The 25147-nt window shown below is 38.9% G+C and overlaps 5 annotated features.

The window, feature by feature from the left end:
* Positions 8764 to 8823: an enhancer, noted in NCBI's record as "active region_26970". NCBI's record gives its function as "activates an Ori minimal core promoter by ATAC-STARR-seq in GM12878 lymphoblastoid cells {active_cell/tissue: GM12878}" and the evidence as "EXISTENCE:reporter gene assay evidence [ECO:0000049][PMID:35858748]".
* Positions 9234 to 9293: an enhancer, noted in NCBI's record as "active region_26971". NCBI's record gives its function as "activates an Ori minimal core promoter by ATAC-STARR-seq in GM12878 lymphoblastoid cells {active_cell/tissue: GM12878}" and the evidence as "EXISTENCE:reporter gene assay evidence [ECO:0000049][PMID:35858748]".
* Positions 14694 to 14833: an enhancer, noted in NCBI's record as "active region_26972". NCBI's record gives its function as "activates an Ori minimal core promoter by ATAC-STARR-seq in GM12878 lymphoblastoid cells {active_cell/tissue: GM12878}" and the evidence as "EXISTENCE:reporter gene assay evidence [ECO:0000049][PMID:35858748]".
* Positions 22846 to 22895: a silencer, noted in NCBI's record as "silent region_18899". NCBI's record gives its function as "represses an Ori minimal core promoter by ATAC-STARR-seq in GM12878 lymphoblastoid cells {active_cell/tissue: GM12878}" and the evidence as "EXISTENCE:reporter gene assay evidence [ECO:0000049][PMID:35858748]".
* Positions 24872 to 24921: an enhancer, noted in NCBI's record as "active region_26973". NCBI's record gives its function as "activates an Ori minimal core promoter by ATAC-STARR-seq in GM12878 lymphoblastoid cells {active_cell/tissue: GM12878}" and the evidence as "EXISTENCE:reporter gene assay evidence [ECO:0000049][PMID:35858748]".

The raw sequence follows: 25147 nt of genomic DNA on the forward strand, positions 1-25147 counted from the left end.
ACCTCTTACATGTATTGATTCATGCCTCGTCTCCCTAAAACTTGTAAAAGCAAGCTGTGGCACATGTTCTCAGGACCTGCTCAGGGCTGTGTCACGGGCCATTGGTCACTCATATTTGGCTCAGAGTAAATGTCTTCAAATATTTTACAAAGTTTGACTTTTTGTTGACATAATCAAAAACAGACTTCAGATCTATCTTATATGGTTAATTTTTCTTCTTTCTCTTACATTGTAAATCTAGTGAGAGAAGAAACCATATGCTCTACCCCAAAACACCTATTTCAATGCCAACCATAAATAATGTATCTGTTGAGTGGTAAGTGGACCTTCGTCCATACAACAAAGACTCTGTCCAACTCTGAGAAGCCACTAGAGGCCATAATTAGCACTGTTGCTAATGTTATTGATATGAACCCTGGACTCAAAAGTTCAGGCATTAAGTGTAATATTTATTTCATAAAACTGGGGGATTTTGAGAAGCCACTGGGGAAAAAAAGCTATCCTATGTATGGACATTATATAGAAGCACACAGGGACCTTAACTGAGGTAATATGCTTTCAAATGCAAGAGGAAAATGCGAGCAGGTAACTAATCCAAATAATCTCCTGTATTCTCCCTCAGAAAGGAGTTCTAAGGTTCTGGCCATTGGGCATCTCTCCCACCCAATGCCTGTTATGTGCAGCAAAACAGACTGTGCTCTGGCCTCTTGCCAAGATATCACCTGACGAATTCTCCAATAATATCACTATAAGGTTTCTGTACAACAAAGAAATATAAAACCAAAGATATCACAGGAAATGTCAAAAAAAAAAAAAAAAAAAAAAACCCCTCATCCCCAGCTTCACCCCTGAGGGCCAAATATTCAACTTGAGAGTTTGGCAGTAAGAAAAAAGGACATGCAAAGAACAACAAAACAAACCCAAAAAAGCCTACTGATTCTTTGTCCCTTTCTATTTTGTTTGAAATGAAAACTTCACCCCAGAAAACAGAAACAACTAAATCCCCAGAAAACATAAAACTCTCTTAATTTTGTTTCCAGCACTGAACCTCCTGCTACTGCCCACTGCTGCATTTGCCAGATAACCGATTATGGGACTAAAAAAACGCCAAAACCTGACAAATAAATCATTCTGAAAGCTGGGGCTTCCCAAGGGTAACATCAGAGATTATCAGTCAGGCAGAAATGTTAACATCCATTTTCCCATCATTGTGAGGCCCTTTGTTAATGGGTTTTCTTTGCAGAAAAGGCACAATGCCCTGCATTATGGGGACATTTTATGCAAATAGCACTTAGGCTGTGTGAAACTCTGTATCAGACACTGTAGCCCAGGCAAATACCTCTTACAGAAAGATCTTCATCCCAGTGCAGAGCCACCTCACATGGCCCTGAGGATTAAAGGACCAGCCAACCCTTCATGTCTACTCCCAAATGAAAATGACCAGGTTTTGAACAGACCAAGCTCTGAGTGGTGGCCCAGGTAAGATGGGGCTTTATTCAACAGCAGGAGAGGAACTTTTCCTCACCTCAAGTCCTGAGACTGAAAAGGGGATCAGCTCCTAGGTCAGTCTAACACCAGGAATCATAGGAGTTCAGAGCTAGAAGCACTGTGTCATTTTATCTACTTACTTCAGTGTTGACACTGAAGCCTGAAAGGTGATGTGACCTACCCATGCTCAGAAAGCCCACGCATAGGGAATCAGGACCAGAATCTAAAGTGACTGGGCCCAGCTTGCTAAATTCATTTATTCGTTTCCTTAATAAGTAGTAATATTAAGGCTGGGGCACTGTGCAGAGTTCTGAAAGAACAACAATGAGTAAGTTGTAGTCTATGCCCTCAGAAGCACTAACAGTCCAGAAGGGGAGGTACAACTAAAAAGATAGATACAAGGGCAAAAGATTTGATGACCTCAATGCCTGTCATCATAGAACTGGTTAAATAAATTGTGGTACATCCATATAGTGGGATAGCAGGCAGTTGTTAAAATAATCATAGGATGATCTACATGTACTGATTGATATGGAAAGTCCTCCAAGTTATGTTGCCAGGGGAAAAAAGTGAAGTGTCTGTGGTAGATATCCATCCAACTATATCAATAATCCTTTTTAAATGTCAGTAGTCTAAATGCACCAATTAGAAGACAGAGATTATTGGAATGGATTCAAAAATGGATTAATACCCAACTATCTATTGCCTACAAGAGACCCACTTCAAATATAAACATACACATAGATCAAAAGTAAATGATGGACAAGCACGGTGGCTCACACCTGTAATCCCAGCACTTTAGGAGGCTGAGGTGGGCACATCACTTGAGGTCAGGAGTTCAGGACCAGCCTGGCCAACATGGCGAAATCCTATCTCTACCAAAATACAAAAATTAGCCAGGCACGGTAGCACGTGCCTGTAGTCCCAGCTAGTCAGAAGGCTGAGGCAGGAGAATCACTTGAACCTGGGAGGTAGAGGTTCCAGGGAGCCCAGATCACGCTATTGCACTCCAGCCTTGGTAACACAGTGAGACTCAGTCAAAAAAAAAAAAAGTAAATCATGCAGAAGAAAGACTATGCTAATATTCACCCAAAGAAGCCAGAAGTAGCTATTTTACTTTCAGACAAGCAGACTTCAAAGCAAAGAAAGTTACGATGGATAAAAAGAGGCATTACATAATGATAAAGGAGGCAATTCTCCAAGAAGATATAAACGTTCTTAACATATATGTGCCTAACAACAAAGTGTTAAAATATATTGGGCAAAAATTGATAGAACTTCAAGGAGATACAGATGAATCCACTATCATAGTTGGAGACTTAGACACTCCTTTACCAGAAATGAAGATCCAGCAGGGAGAAAGTCAGTAAGGACACATGTGAACTCAACAATATAATCAATCAGCTGAGTATAACTGATATCCATAGACTATTTCACTCAACAAGAGCAGGATACATGGTCTTCTGAAGCTCACCTGGAACATTCACCAAGGTAAACCACATTCGGGGCCATAAAACACACCTGAACAAATTAAAAAGAATAAAAATCATACAGGGCCTGCTCTGAGAGCACAAAGGAATTAAAGTAGCAATCAATAACAAAAAATAACTGGAAAAAATCACAAAATACTTGGAGTTTAAATAACACATTTCTAATTAAAATGGTTTAAAGAGGAAAACTCAAAAGAAATGTTAAAACATTTTGAACTAAATGAAAATGAAAACACAACTTAGCCAAATTTGTGATATGCAGGAAAAGCAATGCTTAGAGAGAAACTTATGGCATTTAAAATAAGAAAGATCTAAAAATCATCTAAGCTTCCATCTTAGGAAACATGAAAAAGAAGAGAAAATTAAATCCAGAGGAAACAGTCTGGCGCAGTGGCTCATGCCTGTAATCCCAACACTTTGGGAGGCTGAGGAGGCGGATCACTAGAGGTCAGGAGTTTGAGACCAGTCTAGCCAATATGGCGAAACCCCATCTCTACTAATAATACAAAAATTAGCTGGGCGTGGTGGCATGCATCTGTAATCCCAAGCTACTTGGGAGGCTGAGGCATGAGAATCACTTGAACCCAGGAGGCAGAGGTTGCAGTGAGCTGAGATAATGCCACTGCACTGCAATCTGGGCAACAGAACTAGACTCTGTCTCAAAAACGAACAAACAAACAAAATTCCAGAGGGAACAGAAGAAAACAAATTAAAATTAGAGCAGGAACCAATGAAACTGAAAACAGGAAATAGAGAAGATAAGAATCCCAAATCTGTTTTTTTGAACAAATCAATAAAACGATGAGCCTCTAGTCAGGCTTAGAAAAGAGTAAGAAGAAAGAAATTATTAATATCAGAAATGAAAGAGGGACATCACTACAGATCCCATGGACATGTAAACAATAATAAACAACTCTGTGCCCACAAATTTGACAATGTAGATGAAATGGGCTTATTCCTTGAAAGACATAATCTGCCAAAACACACACCAGAGGCAATAGACACTCTTATTAGACCTATATCTATTTTTTAAAATTGAAGCAATAATTAATAACCTTCCAAAACAGGAAAGTCCAGGCCCAAATGGATTCACTGATGAATTCTACCACAAGTATAAGGAAAAAATTATGCCAATTATTTGTAATCTCTTTCAGAAGGTGGAAGCAGAGGGAATACTTCCTAATTCATTCTACCAAGCTAACGTCACTCTAATACAAAAGCCAACAAAGACATTATAAGAAAACTACAAACCAATATCTCTCATAAACATAGACAGCAAAATCCTCAACAAAATTCTAGCAGATCATATCCAACTATATATAAAAAGAATTATACACCATTACCCATTGAAATTTATCCTAGGTATATAAGTCTATTTCAATATTCCAAAATCAATTAATGTAATCCATCACTTCAACAGGCTAAATTAGAACGATCATATGATCTTACTAATAGATACAGAAAAAGCATTTGACAAAACACAATACTCATTCACGACAAAAACTCTCAAGTAATTAAGGATAGAGGGAAACATTCTCAACTTGATAAAAAGCACCTACAAAAAGCCTGCAGCTAACATTATACTTAATGGTGAGAAACCAGAAGCTTTCCCACTAAGATCAGGAACAAGGCAAGGATATCCCCCTCGCCACTCATTTTCAAACTTGTACTGGAAGTCCTAGTTAATGTAACAAGAAAAGAAAAAGAAAGAAAAGATATACTGATTAGGAAGGACGAAATAAACTGTCTGTGTTCACAGATGATATGATTGTCTATGTAGAAAATTCAAAAGAATCGACAACAGCAACAACAAAAAAACTTCCTGGAACTAATTAATAAGAAATCACAGCAAGTTTTCAGGAGGCAAGGTTAATATACAAAAGTCCATTTCTTTTCTATATACCAATAATAAAGTGGAATTTAAATTAAAACAACACCATTTATGTTAGCACCCCCCAAAATGAAATACTTTGGTATAAATCTAACAAAATATGTACAAGATCTTTATGAAGGAAGCTATACTCTTTGAAAACAAATGAAAGAAAAACTAAATAAATGAATGGATATTCCATGCCCAGAGATAGGAAGAATCAATATTGTCAAAATGTCAGTTCTTCCCAACTTGATATATAGATTTAATACAATCTCAATAAAAATCCCAGCAAATTATTTTGCATATATCCACAAACTAATTTTAATGTTTATGTGGAAAGAGAAAGGACTCAGAATAACCAGCACAATATTTGAGGAAGAAAATAAAGTTGGAGGAGTGACACTACCCAAATATTGGTAAAAGTATAGACAAATATATCAATGGAACAGGATAAAGAGCTCAGAAACAGACATACATAAATAGAGTCAACTGATTTTTGACAAGCAACAAAAGGTGTTCAAACAACTATACAGCCACATGCATAAAAAAGAAAATAAAGTGAATCTAGACACACTAGACACAGACCTTATGCCTTCAACAACAACACTCCAAATGGATCACAGATGTAAATGTAAAACACAGAACTATAAAATTCCTAAAAGATAACATAGAAGAAAATCTATATGACCTTACGCTGATGATTTTAGATACAACACAAAAGGCATGATTCATAAAAGAAATAATTGCTATGTTGAACTTCATTAAAATTGAAAATTTCTACTCTGGGAAAAACACTGCCAAGAAAATGAAAAGACATTGCTTCTCAGCCTTTTGGCTAAGATCAAGTGAAAATGAAAAGATAAGACACACACTGGGAGAAAATATTTGCCAAGACATACTGATAAAGGACCGTTATGCAAAATATACAAAGAACTCCTAAAACTCAACAATAAAAAAACAAACAAACAACCCAATTTAAAAATAAGTCAAAGACCTTAACAATACTTCACCAAAAAAGATATACAGATGGGAAATAAACGTGAAAGGATATCATATTTCATTGGGGAAATGCAAATTAAAACAACAGTGAGATATACTTTACACCTATTAGAATGACCAAAATCCAGAACGCTGACAACACAAAATACTGGCAAGGATACAGAGCAACAGGAACTCTCATTCTTTGATGGTGGAAAAGCAAAATGGTTACAGCCACTTTGGAAGGCTGTTTAGCAGTTTCTTACAAAACTAAACATACTCTTACCATATAATCCATCAAACACACTCCTTGGTATTTACTCAAAGAAGTTGAAAACTATGTCCACAAAAAACTGCACGGGGATGTTTGTAGCTGCTTTATTCATAATTGCAAAACTTGGAAGCAACCAAGATATCCTTCAGTAGGATAAACTGTGATATGTCCAGACAATTTAGCACTAAATAAAAACGACCTATCAAGTCATGAAAAGACACAGAAGAAACTGAAATGCATGTTACTAAATGAGGGAAGCCAATAGGAAATGGCTACATGCTGTATTACTCCCACAATAGGACATTGTGGAAAAGGAAAAACTATGGAGACACTGAAACTATCAGTGACTGCCAGGGTTAGGGGAGATAGAGGTATGAATAAGCAGAACACAGAGGAAATACTCTGAATGATACTATAATTGCGGCTACATGTCATTACATATTTGTCCAAACCCACAGAATGTTCACCACCTACAGTACACCTTAAAATTAACCATGAACTTGAGTGATGAGGTTTTGATGTAGGTTCATGGTAACAAATGTACCACTCTGATGAGTTTTTTTTTAATGGCAAAGTCTGCATTTCTCAAATGTAAAATGAGGGATTTGGATTTGATCAGAGATTTTCCAACCTGTTTCATTCCATTGTAAGTAAAATATAAATATAGAAGGTTTAGCATTTTAACCATTTTTAGGTGTTTAACTCAAGTACAGCCCACTTAAAAGTCCTTGGACATTATTTGGCACTAAGCATATTCATATTGCTGTACTGACATCATCATTATCATCCATCTCTAGAATTTTTTTGTTTTTTTCCTTTTTTAAAACTTTTCTTTAAGGATTTAGGGGTACAAGTGCAGTTGTGTTACATGGTTATATTCTGTAGTGGTAAAGTCTGGGCTTTCAGTGCATCCGTCACCCAAATAATGTCCATGGTACCCAATAGGTATCATTTCATCCCTCATACCCTCTCACCCTCCCACCTTTTGGAGTCTTCATTCTCTATGTTCACAAGTGTCCATTGTTTATCTTTCACTTATAAGTGAGAACATATGAGTTTTACTTTTTATTTTCCAGTCATTCCACTAAGGATAATGACCTGCAGAACTTTTTTCATCTTCCAAAACTGAAATTGTACTCACTAAGCACTTACTCCCCATTCCCCCTTCTTCTCTATCTCCTGGTAACCACCATTCTACTTTCTGTGTCTATGAATTTGACTGTTTTAGGGACCTCACATGAGTATTTGTCCTTTTATGTCTGGCTTATTTCACTTAGCATACGGTCTTTAAGCTTCATCTATCTTGTACATGTGTCAGTATTTCCTTTTTTAAGGCTGAATAATTTTCCATTGTATGGATATACATTTTGTTTGGCCATTCATCCAACATGGACATTTGGCTTGCTTCTACCTCTTGACTATTGTGAATAATGCTACTATGAACATAAGGGTATATAAATATCTTGAGTCCTTACTTCCAGTTCTTTTTGTTACATACCCTGAAGGAGAAGTGCTGGATAATATGATAATTCTAGTTTTAATTTTTTTAAGAACGGCCATACTGTTATCCTTAGCACCATTTTACATTCCCACTAACAGTACACAGGGTACCAATTTTTCCATACCCTTACCAATACTTGTTACTTTTTGCTTTTTTAGTAGTAGCCATCCTAGTGGGTATGAGGTGGTATCTCACTGTGCTTTTGATTAGCACTTTCCTAATGATTAATAATGTTGAACATCTTTTCATGTGTTTATTGGCCATTGTATGTCTTCTTTGGAAAAATGTGTACTCAGGTACTTTGCCCATATTTTAATTGGGTTGTTTGTTTTTTAGTTGTTGAGTTCCAACCTTTTCAAAAGCTGTGTAAACATTAACTTTCAGTGAAATCGTTTATCAAAACCCAATAAGCAAAATAGGAAAGGGCAGCCCTAGCCTGATTGAATTGGATTCATGTACAGGACTCAGAGCTCTGACATACTTGCCCAAGAATTTCTCATCCCAGATCATTCCCCCTCTTCCCCTCCAACATTTCCCCACAGCTGAAGGGGGTCTCTGGGACGCCTCCATGAAAACTTTAGTGCACACAGAACTGAGCAGAATTGAAAAATCACTAGACTAGATAACCTCTAGGCTACTTCCCAGGTAACAGACAGTGTTCATGTGAAGAATGACCAGAGTTTAATTGTTCAAAGGAGAAACTACTTAAAGTAAATGGGTTTTCACCAATACTTATTTGCAGAAGGCATACCCGTGATGTTCACTTCCTTCTGTAAAGACTCTGTTTTAACACGTAAGTCAGATTTATGCCATATTCTTCTGAAACACTGAAGATGTTTATTTTTCGCATGTTACTTATCAGATTCTTGTAGTGAATCTAATTGCTCAGTCATATCTTTTGGGGCACAGTACTCGGATAAGTCTGTCTGCAAAGTTTCTAAAAATGATTAAACTATTAGAGATATCCCTGTAGTATATTGATTGCAAATTTTTCCTTAATTTCTTCTCTTCTCCCTGTATCCACCCCACCCTTTGCAATGTGACTGTGTGGCTCCTCCCATCAAGAAGTGGAGTCTGATTTCCCATTCCCTGAGTCTGGGCTGGCCTTGCGGTTTGCTTTTTTCAATGGACTAAAGTGGAAATGGTGTTGAGGTAGTTCTGAGCTGTCCAGCTTCACTTCTGCTCTCATTCTTGGAATCCTGTCCAGCCACAGTGAAAACAAGCCTGGGCTAGCCTGTCTGATAATGAGGAACAAAGGGGTTCTATCATCTTGTTGCCCCAGCTGGCAGCCAGCCAACAGCCGAATATATCATAGTAGCTTTCCTAACCAATCCAGCACACAGCCACCTTACTCACTGACCACAGACATGTGTGCCAGCCCAGTGCAAATCAGCAGAACTGCCAAGTTGGCCCACAGACTCATGAGTAGTAATGAATTATTATTTTAGGTTGCTGAGATTTGGGGTGGTTTGTTAGATGGTGATACTTAAGTAATATTGTCACCAACTACTTCTTACAGCAAAACCAAAAGGTAATAAATAACAGTTAGCAATTCTGAGGACCTATTGCATCCTGTGCAATTTAAATCCTTCTCTCACTATCCTACTCTTCAACAGGTACTTGGACTCACTATCAAAAGGTAAACACTACACTTCGAATTTAAGGAAATTTTCACAAATCACAAAAGGTTCTGGAGATAATGTTTTATTTCAAAATACTCTGAGATGAATATAAACAAGTATTTGGGTATACCGAGGGGTTTGGTTCTTTTGTTTTTCTGTTCCTTCTGGGTTTTTCCTTTGGGGGTTTTGTCCTCCCTACCCGTGTGCTTGCATTTGGTAAGCCACACTTCTGTAGGGTAACCACATTACTTCACCAGCAGTGTTTCAAGAAAACATCTTCTGAAGTTATTTCAGGGAGCAAATGCATCTGTTTCTATTTGGCTATAAAATATGGTTAAAAACAAAAAGAAAAAGCAATCAGAAATAGCATTATATCTAATGCCCTTTCCAAATCAGAGAGTAGAGGTCTTTAGTTGGTTAAGCTGTCAGCATCCCCAAATATATGGTATCCCTGCAAAAGTAAGAGAAATTATGTCTCCTCTGTGGAGCAAGTGAGGGTTTAGCCTTCCCTGTGTCAAGAGTGCAGTACTCTCCCTGCACTCATTACCATGGTTCATTGCAAGCCAGCACTCCACAATGTCAGATGGCCACCGCAGCTCAGCCTTCTGACTTCAATATTCTCAAAGGCTGGGCAGTCTTCCTTTTGAGAACATTAAGCAGGAAGAAGAAACGTGAGACTAATTTATGCAAATGTATGCAACATCAATCAGATGGTCTCTGCCAGATAGCACAAATCACTGGGTGATTTAGTGCTTTCCTACTATGCACAAAAAGACTTCCAGACACCAGCTCTTTAGTATGGTGGCAGTGTACCTCGGCCACCAGCTAGGCTTTGCCATGGTAATTTGTTTCTTTATCTTTAAAAATAAACAGCACAATTCAATCTAACATCTCAGTTAAATAAGTAAAACCCAAAAGGCAAGCTTCAGTGTCTCGAATAAATTACCCAAGCCTACTGAAAGTTAGAATCAGGCCGAATTTAATCTAAGAGAAAGTAGAATAAGAAAAAATTTTTTAAATGAAGAGTTTCAAGGAGAGTGAGAGCTCAATTGACACTGATAAATATCACAGAGAGATGGGAAAGGAGGGACTCTGAAAAGTTGATTGATTGATTGATTGAATTATGGATTGATTTTTGCATGTGAACTTTAAAAGCTCAATTCCAGTCGGATAGCGGTGACGAACACCAAATAATAGTGACTCTAGGAATGAACAGGAATTAAATAATTAAAGATATAAGTATGTTTACAGGAAATTCAAGTGGGAGTGATAAGAAATGCAGTGGTAGTTTAAGGGGATCAAGGGGTCATGGAAAGGAATTTTTGGTGAGCACGGTAATGAATCACAGGGGCATGACTAATCCAGAGCAGCCAGTGGACCGACATTGAAGGCGCCAGGGAGAAAGGGGACAAAACAGGCATCCGAAGATGGGATTAAGAATGCATTTAAGATACAGCAGGTTTAAAACTTGCAACTCAGGTGTTTATACATGCAACTTGATCTTCTTGTCTATGACAGTACCTAATTTCTCTCCTAAATCCCCATTTCAACTCAGTATCTCTGTTGCTTTTGGTTCTAAGAAGGGTCAGTTTGGATTTAAACACTGGCAATTGAATATTAAAGATTGTCCTCCTCCCTCTCCTCCTTCTCTCATCCCCAGAAGGGAGCTGTTTCCCTGGGGTTTGTTTGCTGTCCTGGCTCTTGGTTCTCACGGCAAGGCATCTGGATCTTGGGCATCATGCTATGGTATATCCACCGATGTCCATGGTCCTATTACAGTTTCTAGTTCCTCATTCTATGTGCTCTGCATTCTCCTCAACAGAACCCCACTGGGACTTCCATGCTCAACCCTATCCTGAATGACAGGGCACCCTCATCTTTCTATGTCGTCCTGAGGGACTGCTCTCAGGTCCACCTGCCTACTTGCCACATGTCCAGTCATTGCCCACATACATATGGAACTTCTCGGTGAGGCTTTTAGAGTCCCCAGTTAAATCCCGGTAAGCCAAGCAATGGTCTCTTCTGTCTGGAATCCCACAAACTTTTCTGGGGTTTCTGATGGTCCCTCATAAGCTAGCAGGTTATAGGAAACCCTTTCTCATGCAATCTCTACCTACCAAACTCTAGCCATTTTCCTTCTGCCCTCCCTGGTGAGCCAGTGGCAGGAGCTTCCATGGCCATTCCCAGTGGGGGAGATGCTGCTCTCTGGATTTGGGGGATGGTTTACTCATAGACTTAATGCCTTTATTATTTAAAAATATTGAAATTAACTAACTATGATTCCACTAAAAAATCTGGAACCGACATAACTAAAGAAACTAAAAACAGGCTAGAATTAGGCATCAGTAAAAAATAGTGGTCAATATCTTCACTACTGTTTTCCACGGACTTCTCTCAAATCCCATTCATTGGCTCACAGGATTCTTCCTTTTCCAGAAAGTCAGGTCTCTGTTGGCATCCCATCCATGTCAGCAAAATTATCAAGAGTTATAAAGGGTCTGAGATTTTACTCTACTTGCAAATTAACAGGTTAAGCTACCAGTTTCATGGATGTTGACAGAAGACATGAGACTCTTGGGTCAGAGGCAAAGAACTTTATTACAGCAATAGCAGTAGCTAGAGCATTTGCTTTATCTTGTACTGATTCTCTGAGTCTCAGATCTCACAGAGTGAGTAGAAGACAACCAGGTGTCTCCTTCACATGCAGTGGGTTGAGTTACAAGAGAGGAACCCTGAGCTTAGGGTATCTGAATCTTTTATAATGCCTGCCATTTGTTATGTTGGGAGGCACTATCTCTGTCTTCCAAGACTGTTTGCTATACAAACATCCTTGAAAAGATAGTCCAGAACCAATGTGGCCATTGCCTCTGCTTGTGAGATATACAGAAATATAAGAAACCCACAGAGACTTGCCTCCAAACAGAGTCAGTCCCTTCTCTAATCTTCAGTAATCTATAGAATTTTTTAAATTACATTATTTTGTCATTTTTTTTGAGAAACTGAGAGAGAAAAAGAGCCAAGAGTGTGTGTTTAGAATGTCATCTTTGTCCCTGAAATCCTGAAATTTGCCTGTATAGAACAAATTAATTTATTTTCAAAAATTACTTTTCCTTGTGCCTGTGATAGAGTTTAACATGTAACATAGGTTTTACCATTTATTTTAATCTGTGTACCTATAGTTGCTTTTTACCTCTGTGGCCCTAGTGAATATCACCCATCATGTTATTACTGTTGACTGGGGGATAGGTTGAAAAAAGCTGCTGAATTTAAGAATGTCTTATGGAAATCTAGTAACCTTGTCTTGACCATGCTACAGGGAACTAATGTGTCAGAGGTTCACATTTCAACCGGAACTCAATAGGAGGAGAAAAATATCTCTAATACAGCAGAAGAGAGACACTGATCTCTAGAAACAAAGTCCCCCAGGAAAGTCAAATCTCTGATCTGGTCAAGCTGCACTTACAAAGGAGGAACTCTGCTTTTCATTTCTAGTATGCCAAAACCTTGGTTTGATTTGAAGAGAAAAAGTGGTTGCCTTTCTATCATTCCTTCTAAATTGTCTTCAGTGGCTACTCCGATGTCCTGGAATGTTGGGCTCTGTAGGTTTTCATATCCAATCTTCTTTCCTTTTCGTTCGATCTGATTTTAGTTGGCTTTCTCTCTTCCCAGGGAAGCAATTACCGGATAGAGATTGATAATATAGTCCTGGAGCGGTGGCTCACACCTGTAATGCCAGCATTCTGGGAGGCCAAGGCAGGCAAATCACTTGAGGTCAGAAGTTTGAGACCAGCTGGGCAACACGGTAAAACCCTGTCTCCGCCGAAAAATACAAAAATTAGCCGGGCATGGTGGTGCGCATCTGTAGTCCCCAGCTACTCGGGAGGCTGAGACAGGAGAATCACTTGAACCTGGGAAGCAGAGGTTGCAGTGAGCCAAAGCACTCAAGCCTGGGTGAGAGTGAGATTCTGCCTCAAAAAAAAAAAAGTCAAGAGTTCGAGATTGCTAATATATCAGTGTAGTTACTCTCCAAGCAAGAGACCCAAGTCATTCCCAGTGCCAATGATCTATTAAGATTTTTGTTGGTTCTATGATCTGACTGTCTCCTCCAAAATTCATGTTGAAACCTCATCTTCAAGGTCATGGTATTAAGGTGTGGTTCCTTTAGGGGTGAATGGGACTAGTGACCTTATACAAAAGCTCCAGGGAAGCTTGTTTAGCCCTTTTGCAAGGTGAGGACACAGTAAAAAGATGACATTCACCAGATATCAAATCTGCCGGTGCCTTAATCTTGGACTTCCCAGTCTCTTGGACTGTGAGAATATATTTCTGTTGATTATATACCACCCAGTTTATGATATTTTGCTATAGAAGCCCATATGGACTAAGAGAATTGGTTTTGTTGTTTGCTAAAGGTTGTGTCACATAACACTGTCTAGATAAAAGGAATTGACCTTTCCTGCATAAACTTTAGCATGTGATAGGCCCTTCATAAATATTTATTGAATAAATGAGTGAATGCACTAGATAAGAAATGCAGAGGTTGGACTGGGCGAGGTGGCTCATACCTGTAATCCCAGCACTTTGGGAGGCTGAAGCAGGGAGATCACTTGAGGTCAGGAGTTAAAGACCAGCCTAGCCAACATGGTGAAACCCTGTCTCCACGAAAAATACAAAAATTAGCCAGGGTGGTGGTGCACACTTATAGTCCCAGCTACATGGGAGGCTGAGGCACGAGAATCGCTTGAGCCCGGGAGGCTGAGGTTGCAGTGGGCCAAGATCTCACCACTGTAGTCCAGCCTGGGTGACAGAGCGAGATCCCATCTCAAAAAAAGAAAGAAATGCAGAGGTTAATGATAGTATTATTTTATTCGTATATCCTATAATTTGAAATGAACTGTCCTTCATACACATAAACTCTTCTTCCACATTGGTGATGAATTTACAGTGAATGATTGATCATTCCTCTTTTACCTGGTCTTTCTTATAAAATTAATGGCATATACTAGGGGATCAATCAAAGGAGCTTCTAACCCCGTGTTTCTTCCTTCCCAGGGCCTACCTCATGCTGTCTCCTTACAAACACCAATTCAGTGTAGGACAAGGTAGGCTGGTTATGAAATAAAGTACAGTTAACCGTGTTATGTGGGAATTGAAATCATGACCTCATGTGCATAACACCTGCAATCAGCCAGTGAAGGCCTGATAAATCTTTGCATTTGTAAGAGTTAGCTAAACACTCAGCCTTTAGGAGTATGCTTTGGGAAGGGTTCCAAGAGTTGGACTGGTAAATATTCTACCTCTTTATTCACTGCCAAATTTCTAAGCTTTATACTCAGTTGTCAATTTTTTCTATTTTTAGTAGAGACGGGGTTTCACCGTGTTATCCAGGATAGTCTCGATCTCCTGACCTCATGATCTGCCCGCCTCAGCCTCCCAAAGTGCTGGGATTACAGGCGTGAGCCACCGCGCCCAGCCAAAAGTCTGTGTTTCTTTTGGGTAAAATTACTTTCAGAAAGTATTAGCTCCCTATAGTCAGCTTAAAGGATTCCTGGAATGACATGGCTAAACATGTATCAATTCCCTGGCTAATTTCCTTCAAGACAATACAAGATTATATCACACTGCTTGCTTCAGCCTGGAGTTCTTCCTATCTAAAAATAAGAATGTATCTTTCACATGAAAGAAACCCTAAGCTTTGAAAGAAACCTTGGTTTCACTTGTTACATGAAACTCCTGTGTGTGTACAATCTACTATATTTGTCCTAACTGTGTCATGGTTTTAGGTGCCTCTAGGCATACCAGAAAGACATCTTGCTTGAATTACCAAGGTTCTGTGCTTTTAGGAGACACTGGATTAGGAGCAAGGCACCTCAAACAGACACTTCCTTCTCTCTCTGGGCACCGTCAAAACCTCCAGATAACCTGGCAACTGCAAATGAATTTCAAGCATTTGACAAAGTGGGGTTGAACATCACTTCACTCTGGTTTGCCGCGGAAGCCTTAATATTAAGGTATACTTTTTTAAAACTGTATTTTTCTGTATTCTGTATATAGAAACATTTTCTATTTCTCCATGTTTCCTATATTTCTTTTTTTTCTAGCTAAAGAATTTATTTCAACATTTGCAAAATACTATATCACAATTATTTACCTTTCTTTGTTTTCTGTATTTCTATCTTTCCATTCAGTTAATTTGTACCCCATTTTGGAAAGCAAGTTGGTAAATCAAAAGTCTTAAAATGCTCATAGCTTTCCTCCCAGTAAATCTATATCTGGGAATCTTTCCTAAACAAAGCATCCTAATCATCTAAAACAATGTTGCAGTATTATAATATTGAAAAGGACCAAAATGATCAACCATAGGATGCTTAGTTTTTAAAAAGCATGATTATATTTACAAAGAGTTTTGAATAACATTGGCAAATGTCTATTATTATATTTGCTAAAAAATTGAATACAAAATTATATTCTCTATGTAAACACAGTGTACACACTATAAGCACAGCCCTGACACATAAAAAACGTAATGCAAATATTTGTTAAATTCACTCATTTGAATGAATCACAGCTATGTTGAAAAAAAAGAATCCTGCCTAGAAAACAAAATTTACACATTCATATGGTTATCTCTGGACGACAAAACTAAGCATGATTTTGTTTATTTTAAGATTAGTATAATTACATTAACATTTTCATAACATGAAAAATAAAATTATCTTGAAAAAGAAATATGTTTATGAGCATATTCTAGGGAGTTCAACATACAAGAGAAATTCTACTATATATTGAGGCTTCCATTGTTTGATTAACTTTTTAAAAACATGGTCTAGAAGCCTAAACTTTTTCACCTAAAGCTGCATTTCAAATACTAGTTGAGATATGGAAATAAGACGCCTCACAACTTAGTTCTGAAATTATGTATCCTCATAATCATAGCTACCCTTTATTGATACCTAATTTACATCAGATGCCAAGATAAATGATATACCATTGAATTTAATTTTATTTTTATTTCATTCATTCATTTAATACATTTTGAAAGCAGCTGCTAGGTACAAGACACTTAGTATAAAGGTAGCAAAAAGTTTTTGCCATGAAGGAAGTTATTAGATTGGTGCAAAAGTAATTGTGGCCTTTGCCATTAAAAGTAATTGCAAAAACTGCAATTACTTTAGTGCTAACCCAGTATAAGGAGACCTGACCTTAATTAAATGAGGACACTAGTGTTTTGGATGTTGACCCACCCAAAACAATACTGTTACTAGAGCGTAAAAGAGGGACGATCACATCCAGGTGAGGGTCATAGGAAGGGCTAATGATTGAGCAGAAACTGTAGGATTAAAGCAAAGGCCCCTGGCCCTGGCCCACCAGGCTAGAGGGAGAAAGTGCAAGACCGGGACCCAGGCCAAGGCCACACACAAGGCCTGGCTCCTCTTCCGGAGACTGCTGGTCAGAAAATAATTTTCCCCAGGTGCCTGAAGTCTCGTAACGCAGATACTCTAGACATTTTCCGTTTTCTGATTTTATATATATATATATATACATACACACACAAACAAATATTTAAAATGGGCATGTGAAAATATGTGTTTGTGTATTTTCACATACCCATTTCATATATATATACATATATGAAATATATATTTCATGTATACATATATGTATATATGAATATATATCATGTATCATATATATCATATATACACATATATATGAAATGGGTATACATATATGAAATATATATTTCAAGTATACATATATGTATATATGAATATATATCATATATCATATATAATATCATCTATACACATATATATGAAATGGGTATGTGAAGATACACAAACATATATTTTCACATGCCCATTTTACTAAAAATATGGGGTTTTTTTTTTTACAATGTTTAATTCTATTCTAGTAATCCTTAAATTTTGATGTGTATTCTTGAATGGTTAAAAACATGACTTTTTTAAAAATAAAAATGATCTGTAGAAACCTGTTTCCATAATGATAGAAATCTTGACTTTCCGTCTTGCTGACAGATCCCAGTTAGAAATTTAAACCAAATTGTTTCCATCAATTAGTAGGCTCGGAGAGAAAGTGTGGAGGACAGGAGTTTCTGCAAATTTATCAGAATTTTAGAGGAAAATGAACAGTTGTACCTTCCTGAGATGTGAGTTTATATTGACCACCAGATTTCTCTAGCACTGATCATAGATTCGAACTTATTTATTTATTAACGATGATGATAAAACTACCTAACATTTTTGAGAACCATCTGTATGCCAGGCACTCCTCAAAATTCTTTGCACAGATTACCCCCATTAACCACGATGCCAACCTCATGGCCGGCAAGGCAGAAAAATCTCATTCTCACTTTACCAGTGGCTAACTGTGAAAACTCCATTCATGTTGGCCATTTTCACTAGTCATTTGAAAATCCAGCAAATGAAATCAGACATTTTGTGGTGGATGAAGAAACTTTTTTGGTTTGTTCTCTTTTTTTGAGACAGAGTCTCACTCTGTCACCCAGGCTGGAGTGCAGTGGCACGATCTTGGCTCACTACAAACTTTAGCTCCGGGGTTCAGGCGATTTTCCTGCCTCCGCCTTCTGAGTAGCTGGGATTACAGGTGTCCTCCACCATGCCCAGCTAATTTTTGTATTGTTAGTAGAAATGGGGTTTCACCATGTTGGCCAGGCTGGTCTCTGAACTCCTGACCTCAGGTGATTATTCCACCTTGGACTTCCAAAGTGCTAGGACAAATAGGCATAAGCCACCACACCTGGCCTGAAACAATTTTTAAGAAGTGATTTAGTTGCAAGTTGGCTCAGATCCTCTGTTTAAACATTATGAATTCTCCTCAAGTTATCAGAATTGACTAACTTTTAGTTAAGCCCCATTCCATGGCAAATAGAACATACCTTAGGCTAGGGACAAATTTATTGCATCTTTATATATTTGTGAAATTTAGCATTCTGCCTCTAAATTTCCTGTAATAAAAATACTCTTAGAATGATCCTTCTTGAAAGGACGTGATTCTAAGGAAGTCACTGAACATAAATAACTAAGTAAAGAAGGAGGGGGAGGGCATTCCAGAGAGGTTTCTCATCACTGCTATTTGCATGGATTTTTACCTGGGGGCAGCCAGTTACTAACTCTGAGCTGCTTTCAGGAACTTCCAAGTACACGGAGTTCAGGGATCTCCTTTTTCCTATTAACTTGGTTATAATGGTTTCCAGGATTAATAAACAAACTCAAAGTTTGGCCCAGGAAGCAGCTCTCATGTTATAAATCATAGCACCCACAACTTTACCATCTAAATAGATAATGATATCCAAGTCAAGTATTTCCATGGGAGGGTTTTTCATTGTCCTAGCAGAATGAAAGTTTTAAGGAACTTTGTCTTTCAGGTATTATAAACTTTGGGGGCCTCTTCCAGTTTTTCCTACACGCAGACGAAAAAATGTCACAGCTCTAGGGATGCTTAAGTCTCACCCAGTGACCTGCAAGTTCTTCAACAGACGGGAAATTGAGAACCAGGATTATAGCACTCAGACCCCTATGGACTGAAAAAGTGGCTAGTTTGACTTCCTTCTGAATTCTTTTCACACAATAGTAAATGACAAATAAAAATCAGAATCTGTTACTCTAAGAGGAGTGTCCCTCTGTGATGTCATATAATAAATGGTGAGAGACAGAGAAGATGGGAAGGCGTGTGGAGGCTTCTATCTTAGGCCTGAGGAAAGTTTCAAAACAATTACGCAATCAGGAGCAGGAGTCATTGTTGACTGGCAAGTGGCAAAAAAAAACAAACAAAAAAAAAAACAGAAAGATAGATAGATAAATGGATAGATTTGTTTTCATTGGCTCTTACAGGTGATGAGTTCTTGAAGAAGGGGTGGAAATTAACAAAATCTATATGTATCCATGAGGGCTTTTCCTCCATTACTTCTGTAGGCAGGAGATTCTCTAGAATTGTGTCCACCATGGCTGTAATTAATGAGAACCAAAGATGTCCAATGTAATCTGTTTCAGCAGTCATAATAGAACTTTTAAAACATCTTTCCTTTTACGATTCCATCAGCAGCCCTTGCTTGAATACCAGACTGATGTGTTTGCTAATCAATAACTCATTAATAGTTATAATGACCACAAAGACTTAAGCTGTCCCTTAAAGTAGGAGCTGGATGCCTGTGTGGAATCCTGAGGGCTTTGTTGATTGGTTAGGTAGGTAGGTGAAGAATTAGTGAAGAAAATTGTGATCAAATCCTTCCTCACATTTTTTACCAAGATCATAAAATGGAAGAAAAGTAAATTGGGATTAAAACAAGGCAGTTATTTTCTCATCTGCTCTCATTGAAAAGGAATGTTTGTCATCTGCATGCTCCTAATAACAAACATTCATTGAGCACCTATGGGCAAGACACAGTGGGCCTTAGGATCAGGATGAGTCCGCTGGTGGCTCCATGCAGGAGAGAGATGGCCATCCCAACCATGCTGAAAGAACAGAACGAAGACACCAGCACGGAGGCAAATGGTAAAGACCAGTCTCGTACCACTGAACAATGGGCTACAGGGAGCCCAAAGATGAGGATGCTACACTTCTTACCCTCAGAGAGCTTATGGGACCATGTGACCGGAGAGAATTTAGGTCAGCTTGTTAGCATCACAGGAACAGAAAACGAGATGAAACTCACTGTCCCTAGGACTGCTGTAACTTTTGTGGCACCTACAGGAGGTCAACTTGAAAAAGGAAATTGCTTCATCAGGAAGGAAAAAGAGCTGCTTGCTGATGCAGGAGGTAGAAAGAAATTATTAGACAGATAGTAGGTGCAGCAGAGTCCCCAGTAAAATGTCCCTTTTAACAAAAAGCAGGCCCCAAATCACTTCCTTTCTAACAAACAGCAGCCTGAAAAATTGAGCTGCAGACAAATAAGCAAGCTGGAAACTTGCATGGGTGAATGCCAGCAGCTGTGCCAATATAAAAGGGCTACCTGGAGGCCAGGTATGTCCAACATAGAGTCTCCATCTTCTCTTTTTTTTGTCACCACATGTACAGTAAAGGAACAGGCAACATGGCACCGGCCAGGTAGAGAACCACCTGCAATGGCACACCGAGTCCTAACCAGTTTTTCGCGCCTTATGCAAATGAAACACCTGGTCTGACCAATCTTTCATGCCCTCTGTAAATCAGACACCACCTCCTCAAGCTCATCTATAAAAAACCTTGCATTCCACTGTGGAACCAGCAACTCACTTCTCCAGCATGCCTCTCTGCTGCAGAGATCTCCTCTCTTTCTTTTGCCTATTAAACTTCCATTCTGAACCTCACTCTTTGTGTGCCTGCGTCCTAGTTTTCCATGGCCGTGAGACAATGAATCTCGGGTATTTACTCCAGATTATTACCCCAATAACGCCACTTCATCGTTAGTGTATATATATATATATAGAGAGAGAGAGAGAGAGTAATAAAATAGCTAGCACTGACTGAGTACTAACCTTGAGCTGTATATCAAACTCTTTATTACATATTACATTTTATTACATTTTATTAATGTAATAACTCATTATTACATTTAACCCCTATAGTAATCCTATGAGATAGATATTATTGTCATTTCCAGTATATAAATGAGACAACTGAGCCTCAGATATAGTACTTTATGTAACGAACGTGGCATGGCTTCCTTCAAAATCTGCTCTCTTGACCCTTCTGCTGTCCTGAATATCATTAAGAAACACAAATATGTTATACAACTAAAATAAAACCATCATAAAGCAGCTTATATAACCAAAGGCTTCTCAGCCTCCACATACTGGCTGTTTTTTTTAAGCAATATTAAATGAAAGAATGTTCTAATAAAATCAGAAATGTCATATAATCTTCCGATGCTCCTAAAAATGGAATGTGAATTATGGTCAAACTATTAATAATATATTAAACTATCCAGAGAAAGAAGGCAAAGATAGAGGTGTGACTTGCTTTTTCTCTGGATAGATAAGATCGTCAGACCAAATGAAACCATACAAACCACACATCAAGATGTTTGACAAGCTCTTCCTGGCTCCTCCAAAATGTAATTTTGGCAGCAACTTTGGACAGAACATCAATTCAAATACATAAATAAAAGGACATGGATTATCACAAAGAGGACAGCCCAGAACTCAAATATTTTCTATTGACATTGAAAATAACTTAAAAAGTGATGATTACTCTGGAAATGTTTGCATTGTGGACCTTAATTTCTCTGTGTAATTCCCTCTGTGAGGAAGCAACTAGCAAGGGACCTAACTGGGTGTAGAAATCAGGAAGCTGTGCTGAGGAGGTGATATTCAAGTTTCTCATCTTGAAGGAGGATTAGGAGTTGGGGAGGGAGGGTCTGGGGGAAAGAAGTGTATACACAAAAGGCTGAAGGCAAGAGAGTGCACATGAGGTGAAACCTGCAATCGTTTGGTGTAACTGGAGGTTAGTGTCTGAGAAAGGGCGAGCTGTGGAGGAATTTATGCCTATGGTGGCAAGAAGCTATTGAAGAGTTTTGCTAAATGTTAAGTGTATCTACTGTTTCCCAGGCTTTATTTAAGGATTCATGAAATCATGTTTGTAAAACCCATTTGCAGCCCTTAAAAACGAATACTAAAGAAATACCAGGGTGTTTACATGTTTTCTTGCAGATGACAAATGCAAAACACCATCCATAAGGTTTTTAGGAAAAAAACTCGAGGATTTCATTCTAATTGTGAGGAGACTCCCAGACGTGTCATTATAGCTAATCCCATGAAGCCCAAGTCACAGATAAAAAAATTACTTTAAATGGCAAATATGCACTTATTTATAAACAGATTTGATAGAATCACACTTCCAAACACGCATTTGCTTATTATTCCCTGTAAAATGACAAAACTATCACCTGATTGTTCATTAATTCTCCTGGAACATTCCAAACCTACCCAGGTAACAACTACTAAGGGTTCACAAAACATTTTTAGCTATTGATTTCCCAGGCACGCCACAAGCGATGAACAACAGCCATGATCTATGAAGCCGCTGCAATGAAGCAAAGCTACAGCAATTACTAAGTACTTGAGTGAAGTATGGAAAACTTCACTGTTGGATAAAAAAATTAAACCTAGTTTCTGTACCCAATGGGTCATGCTAAGTTACATGTTACATGACTAAGTAATCATGACTTTGCCAAAAAGGTACAAAATAGGCACAAATGGCTCTCATCCCTCCTCATCCTCTTCTTGTCTGAGGACAGTGATGAATCATGCTGACCACCTCTCTCTGGAACTTATCACTGCTATGCCTTGTTAAAGCAAACTAAATATGGCCTGGGAAGGACTCCATACTTCTGTATTTGAGTCCTTGTGGACGAACTGCAACCTACCTTAGTGTGCAGACAAGATTGAAACCCTAATTTAGGATTACAGCCTGTAACAATAGCTGAGTCTCAGCCAATCTCAGCAGCCACACTTCAACCATTCATACAGTGCTGAGTGTTCAGACTGTGTTCAAATAACACAAATGCCAAGCTGTAACCAATCCACCTGTTTCTGCACCTCACCTCTGATTTCTGTACGTCACTTCCCTTTTTTTGTTCTGACCATGAGGTACCCCTGGAGCCTCTCTGAATCTGCAGTAATTCTGGGGGCTGCCTGATCCGTGAATCATTCATTGCTCAATTAAACTCCTTTAAATTTAATTCTGCTAAAGTTTTTCTCTTAACAGCCCATTTATCTATTCAACACATTTTATTGAGCTCTGTTCTGGTCACTATGCTGGGCAACGGAAGAGAGAAATTAATAAGACTTAATTCCTGCCTTTGAATTGCTCACAGTGAGATGGGACAGGCATGTAGATTTTTAAAAAAAGAATGCAATACAGAGTCAGGACTAACAGAGCCATCGGAATATACAAGGCCTTATTTGTAACTTTGAGATATATGTTGTCCCCAGAACCAGGGTCATAATAAAAAATAAACAGGAATTCCCAGCTGCCAGCTTTCACTAAACAGTCTCTTACCCAGGACAACAGTTAATCTTTAATAGGAAAAACAGGAAGCATCCTATTCAAAATCCTGGTTGAAGGATGCAGACTGAATATTCATTAGGGTGGGGGTGAAGGCTGAGGGGAGCAGGAGTGAGAAAATAGCAGGAAGCCAGGAACACCCATGGTATGAGAATTTCTTGAATTGTTGAGATGTGTTTCCTAGACAGCTTCCACGGAGGAGGAGGGCTGTTGAAGATGTTCTCTTGTTAGATGCACTGTAACAATGACGACTAGTTTAGATCATAAAATATTCTTTAGTTCCTGACCATTTTCAGTTCACACACTCTGTATACATCTTACCATTGAGGCATATGAGAGTGAAAGCATCACTGGCTTTCTGTACTGTCACCTAAAGTCACAATTTTTAAAACACAGAGGCTGTATGAAACCATAATTATGATGTAGTGCAGCCAGGAGAACTAACAAAGAAGAATACGCTTTCTTCTTGCTCTTGTTGTTTCTCTTGTTATTAATCCACTGCTTTTCTGCTATTGACATTGGGCCTGGCTAAATGGTTGGTGGACAGGTAAACCTAGAGGCAAGCTTTCAGAGAGGGCATCATATATATACAGTAGTGCTAAAACACAGGACAAGAAAATAGTTCTAGAAAATGAGGGTTTGTCTTCCTCTCTATTTCTCTAAAAGAGGAAGGAAGAAATGCATATTAGCAGTGTAATTAAGTCAGATGTCTTGCTGAATTAAGACATTATCTCTGAATGCAGCCCCTCTAAGGGACAGCCAGGAAATTTGAAAGGTGACCTAAAAAGAGGATTTTATTGTAAGAACTGAAAAATACTTGCTGGCAATATTTAAGTAGAAGTTAAATGCATTTGGCTGAGCTGCATAAAGGAAATCGATGTTCTCTATTAGCTAAATTCGAGGACATTCACGTCTGCTTTCCCAGCCCTTGAGAATGTATGAGGTCCAACAACCCAGTTCTTTCAAAGTCAGTCACAGCTTCTCACTTCCCTTCTTCTCCTCCCTCCTCCTACACACTCTGCCTCCAGCCTTCATCCTCCTAACTCCCAGACAAATGCACAAACATCTGTGTTCAGGTTCCTTCCCTCACATCTTCCTGGGAGGATGGGAGCGGCAGTCTGACTGCCTCACAGTACCACTCTGACATTGGTCACTCCTTCAGAGTCTCTTATCGGTGTACAGAGGACAACCAACTCCAAGTAAGGGGGCCAGGGGGTACACATGACGCAGATGACACTTCCTATTCTAGTATCACCTCCTACTCCTCCCCAGACAACACAGGTGAAGTCTTGAGGGGGAAAATTAGTCATAGAAAGCGGGCAGGAGAGGCATTGTGGGTGCTGAGTAAAGTGGAGAAAGTGAGAAGAAGGGGCTGGGCACGGTGGCTCATGCCTGTAATCTCAGCACTTTGGGAGGCTGAGGTGGGATGATCACTAGAGGTCAGGAGTTCAAGACCATCCTGGCCAATATGGCAAAACCCCGTCTTTACTAAAAGTACAAAAATTAGGGCTGGGTGCGGTGGCTCATGCCTGTAATCCCAGCACTTTGGGAGATCAAGGCACGTGGATCACCTGAGGTCAGGAGTTTGAGACCAGCCTGGCCATCACGGTGAAACCTCGTTGCTACTAAAAATACAAAAATTAGCCAGGCATGGTGGCAGGTGCCTGTAATCCCAGCTATTTGGGAGCCTGAGGCAGGAGAATCTCTTGAACCCAGGAGGCAGAGGTTGTGGTAAGCCAAGAGAGAGTTACTGCACTCCAGCCTGGGCGACAGAGTAAGACCCTATCACAAAAAAAAAAAAAAAAAAAAAAAAAATTAGCTGAATTTGGTGTAACACGCCTGTAATCCCAGCTACTAGGGAGGCTGAGGCAGGAGAATCACTTGAACCTGGGA

This window comes from Homo sapiens, chromosome 8, assembly GCF_000001405.40.
Source record: "Homo sapiens chromosome 8, GRCh38.p14 Primary Assembly".
NCBI classification, from domain to species: domain Eukaryota; kingdom Metazoa; phylum Chordata; class Mammalia; order Primates; family Hominidae; genus Homo; species Homo sapiens.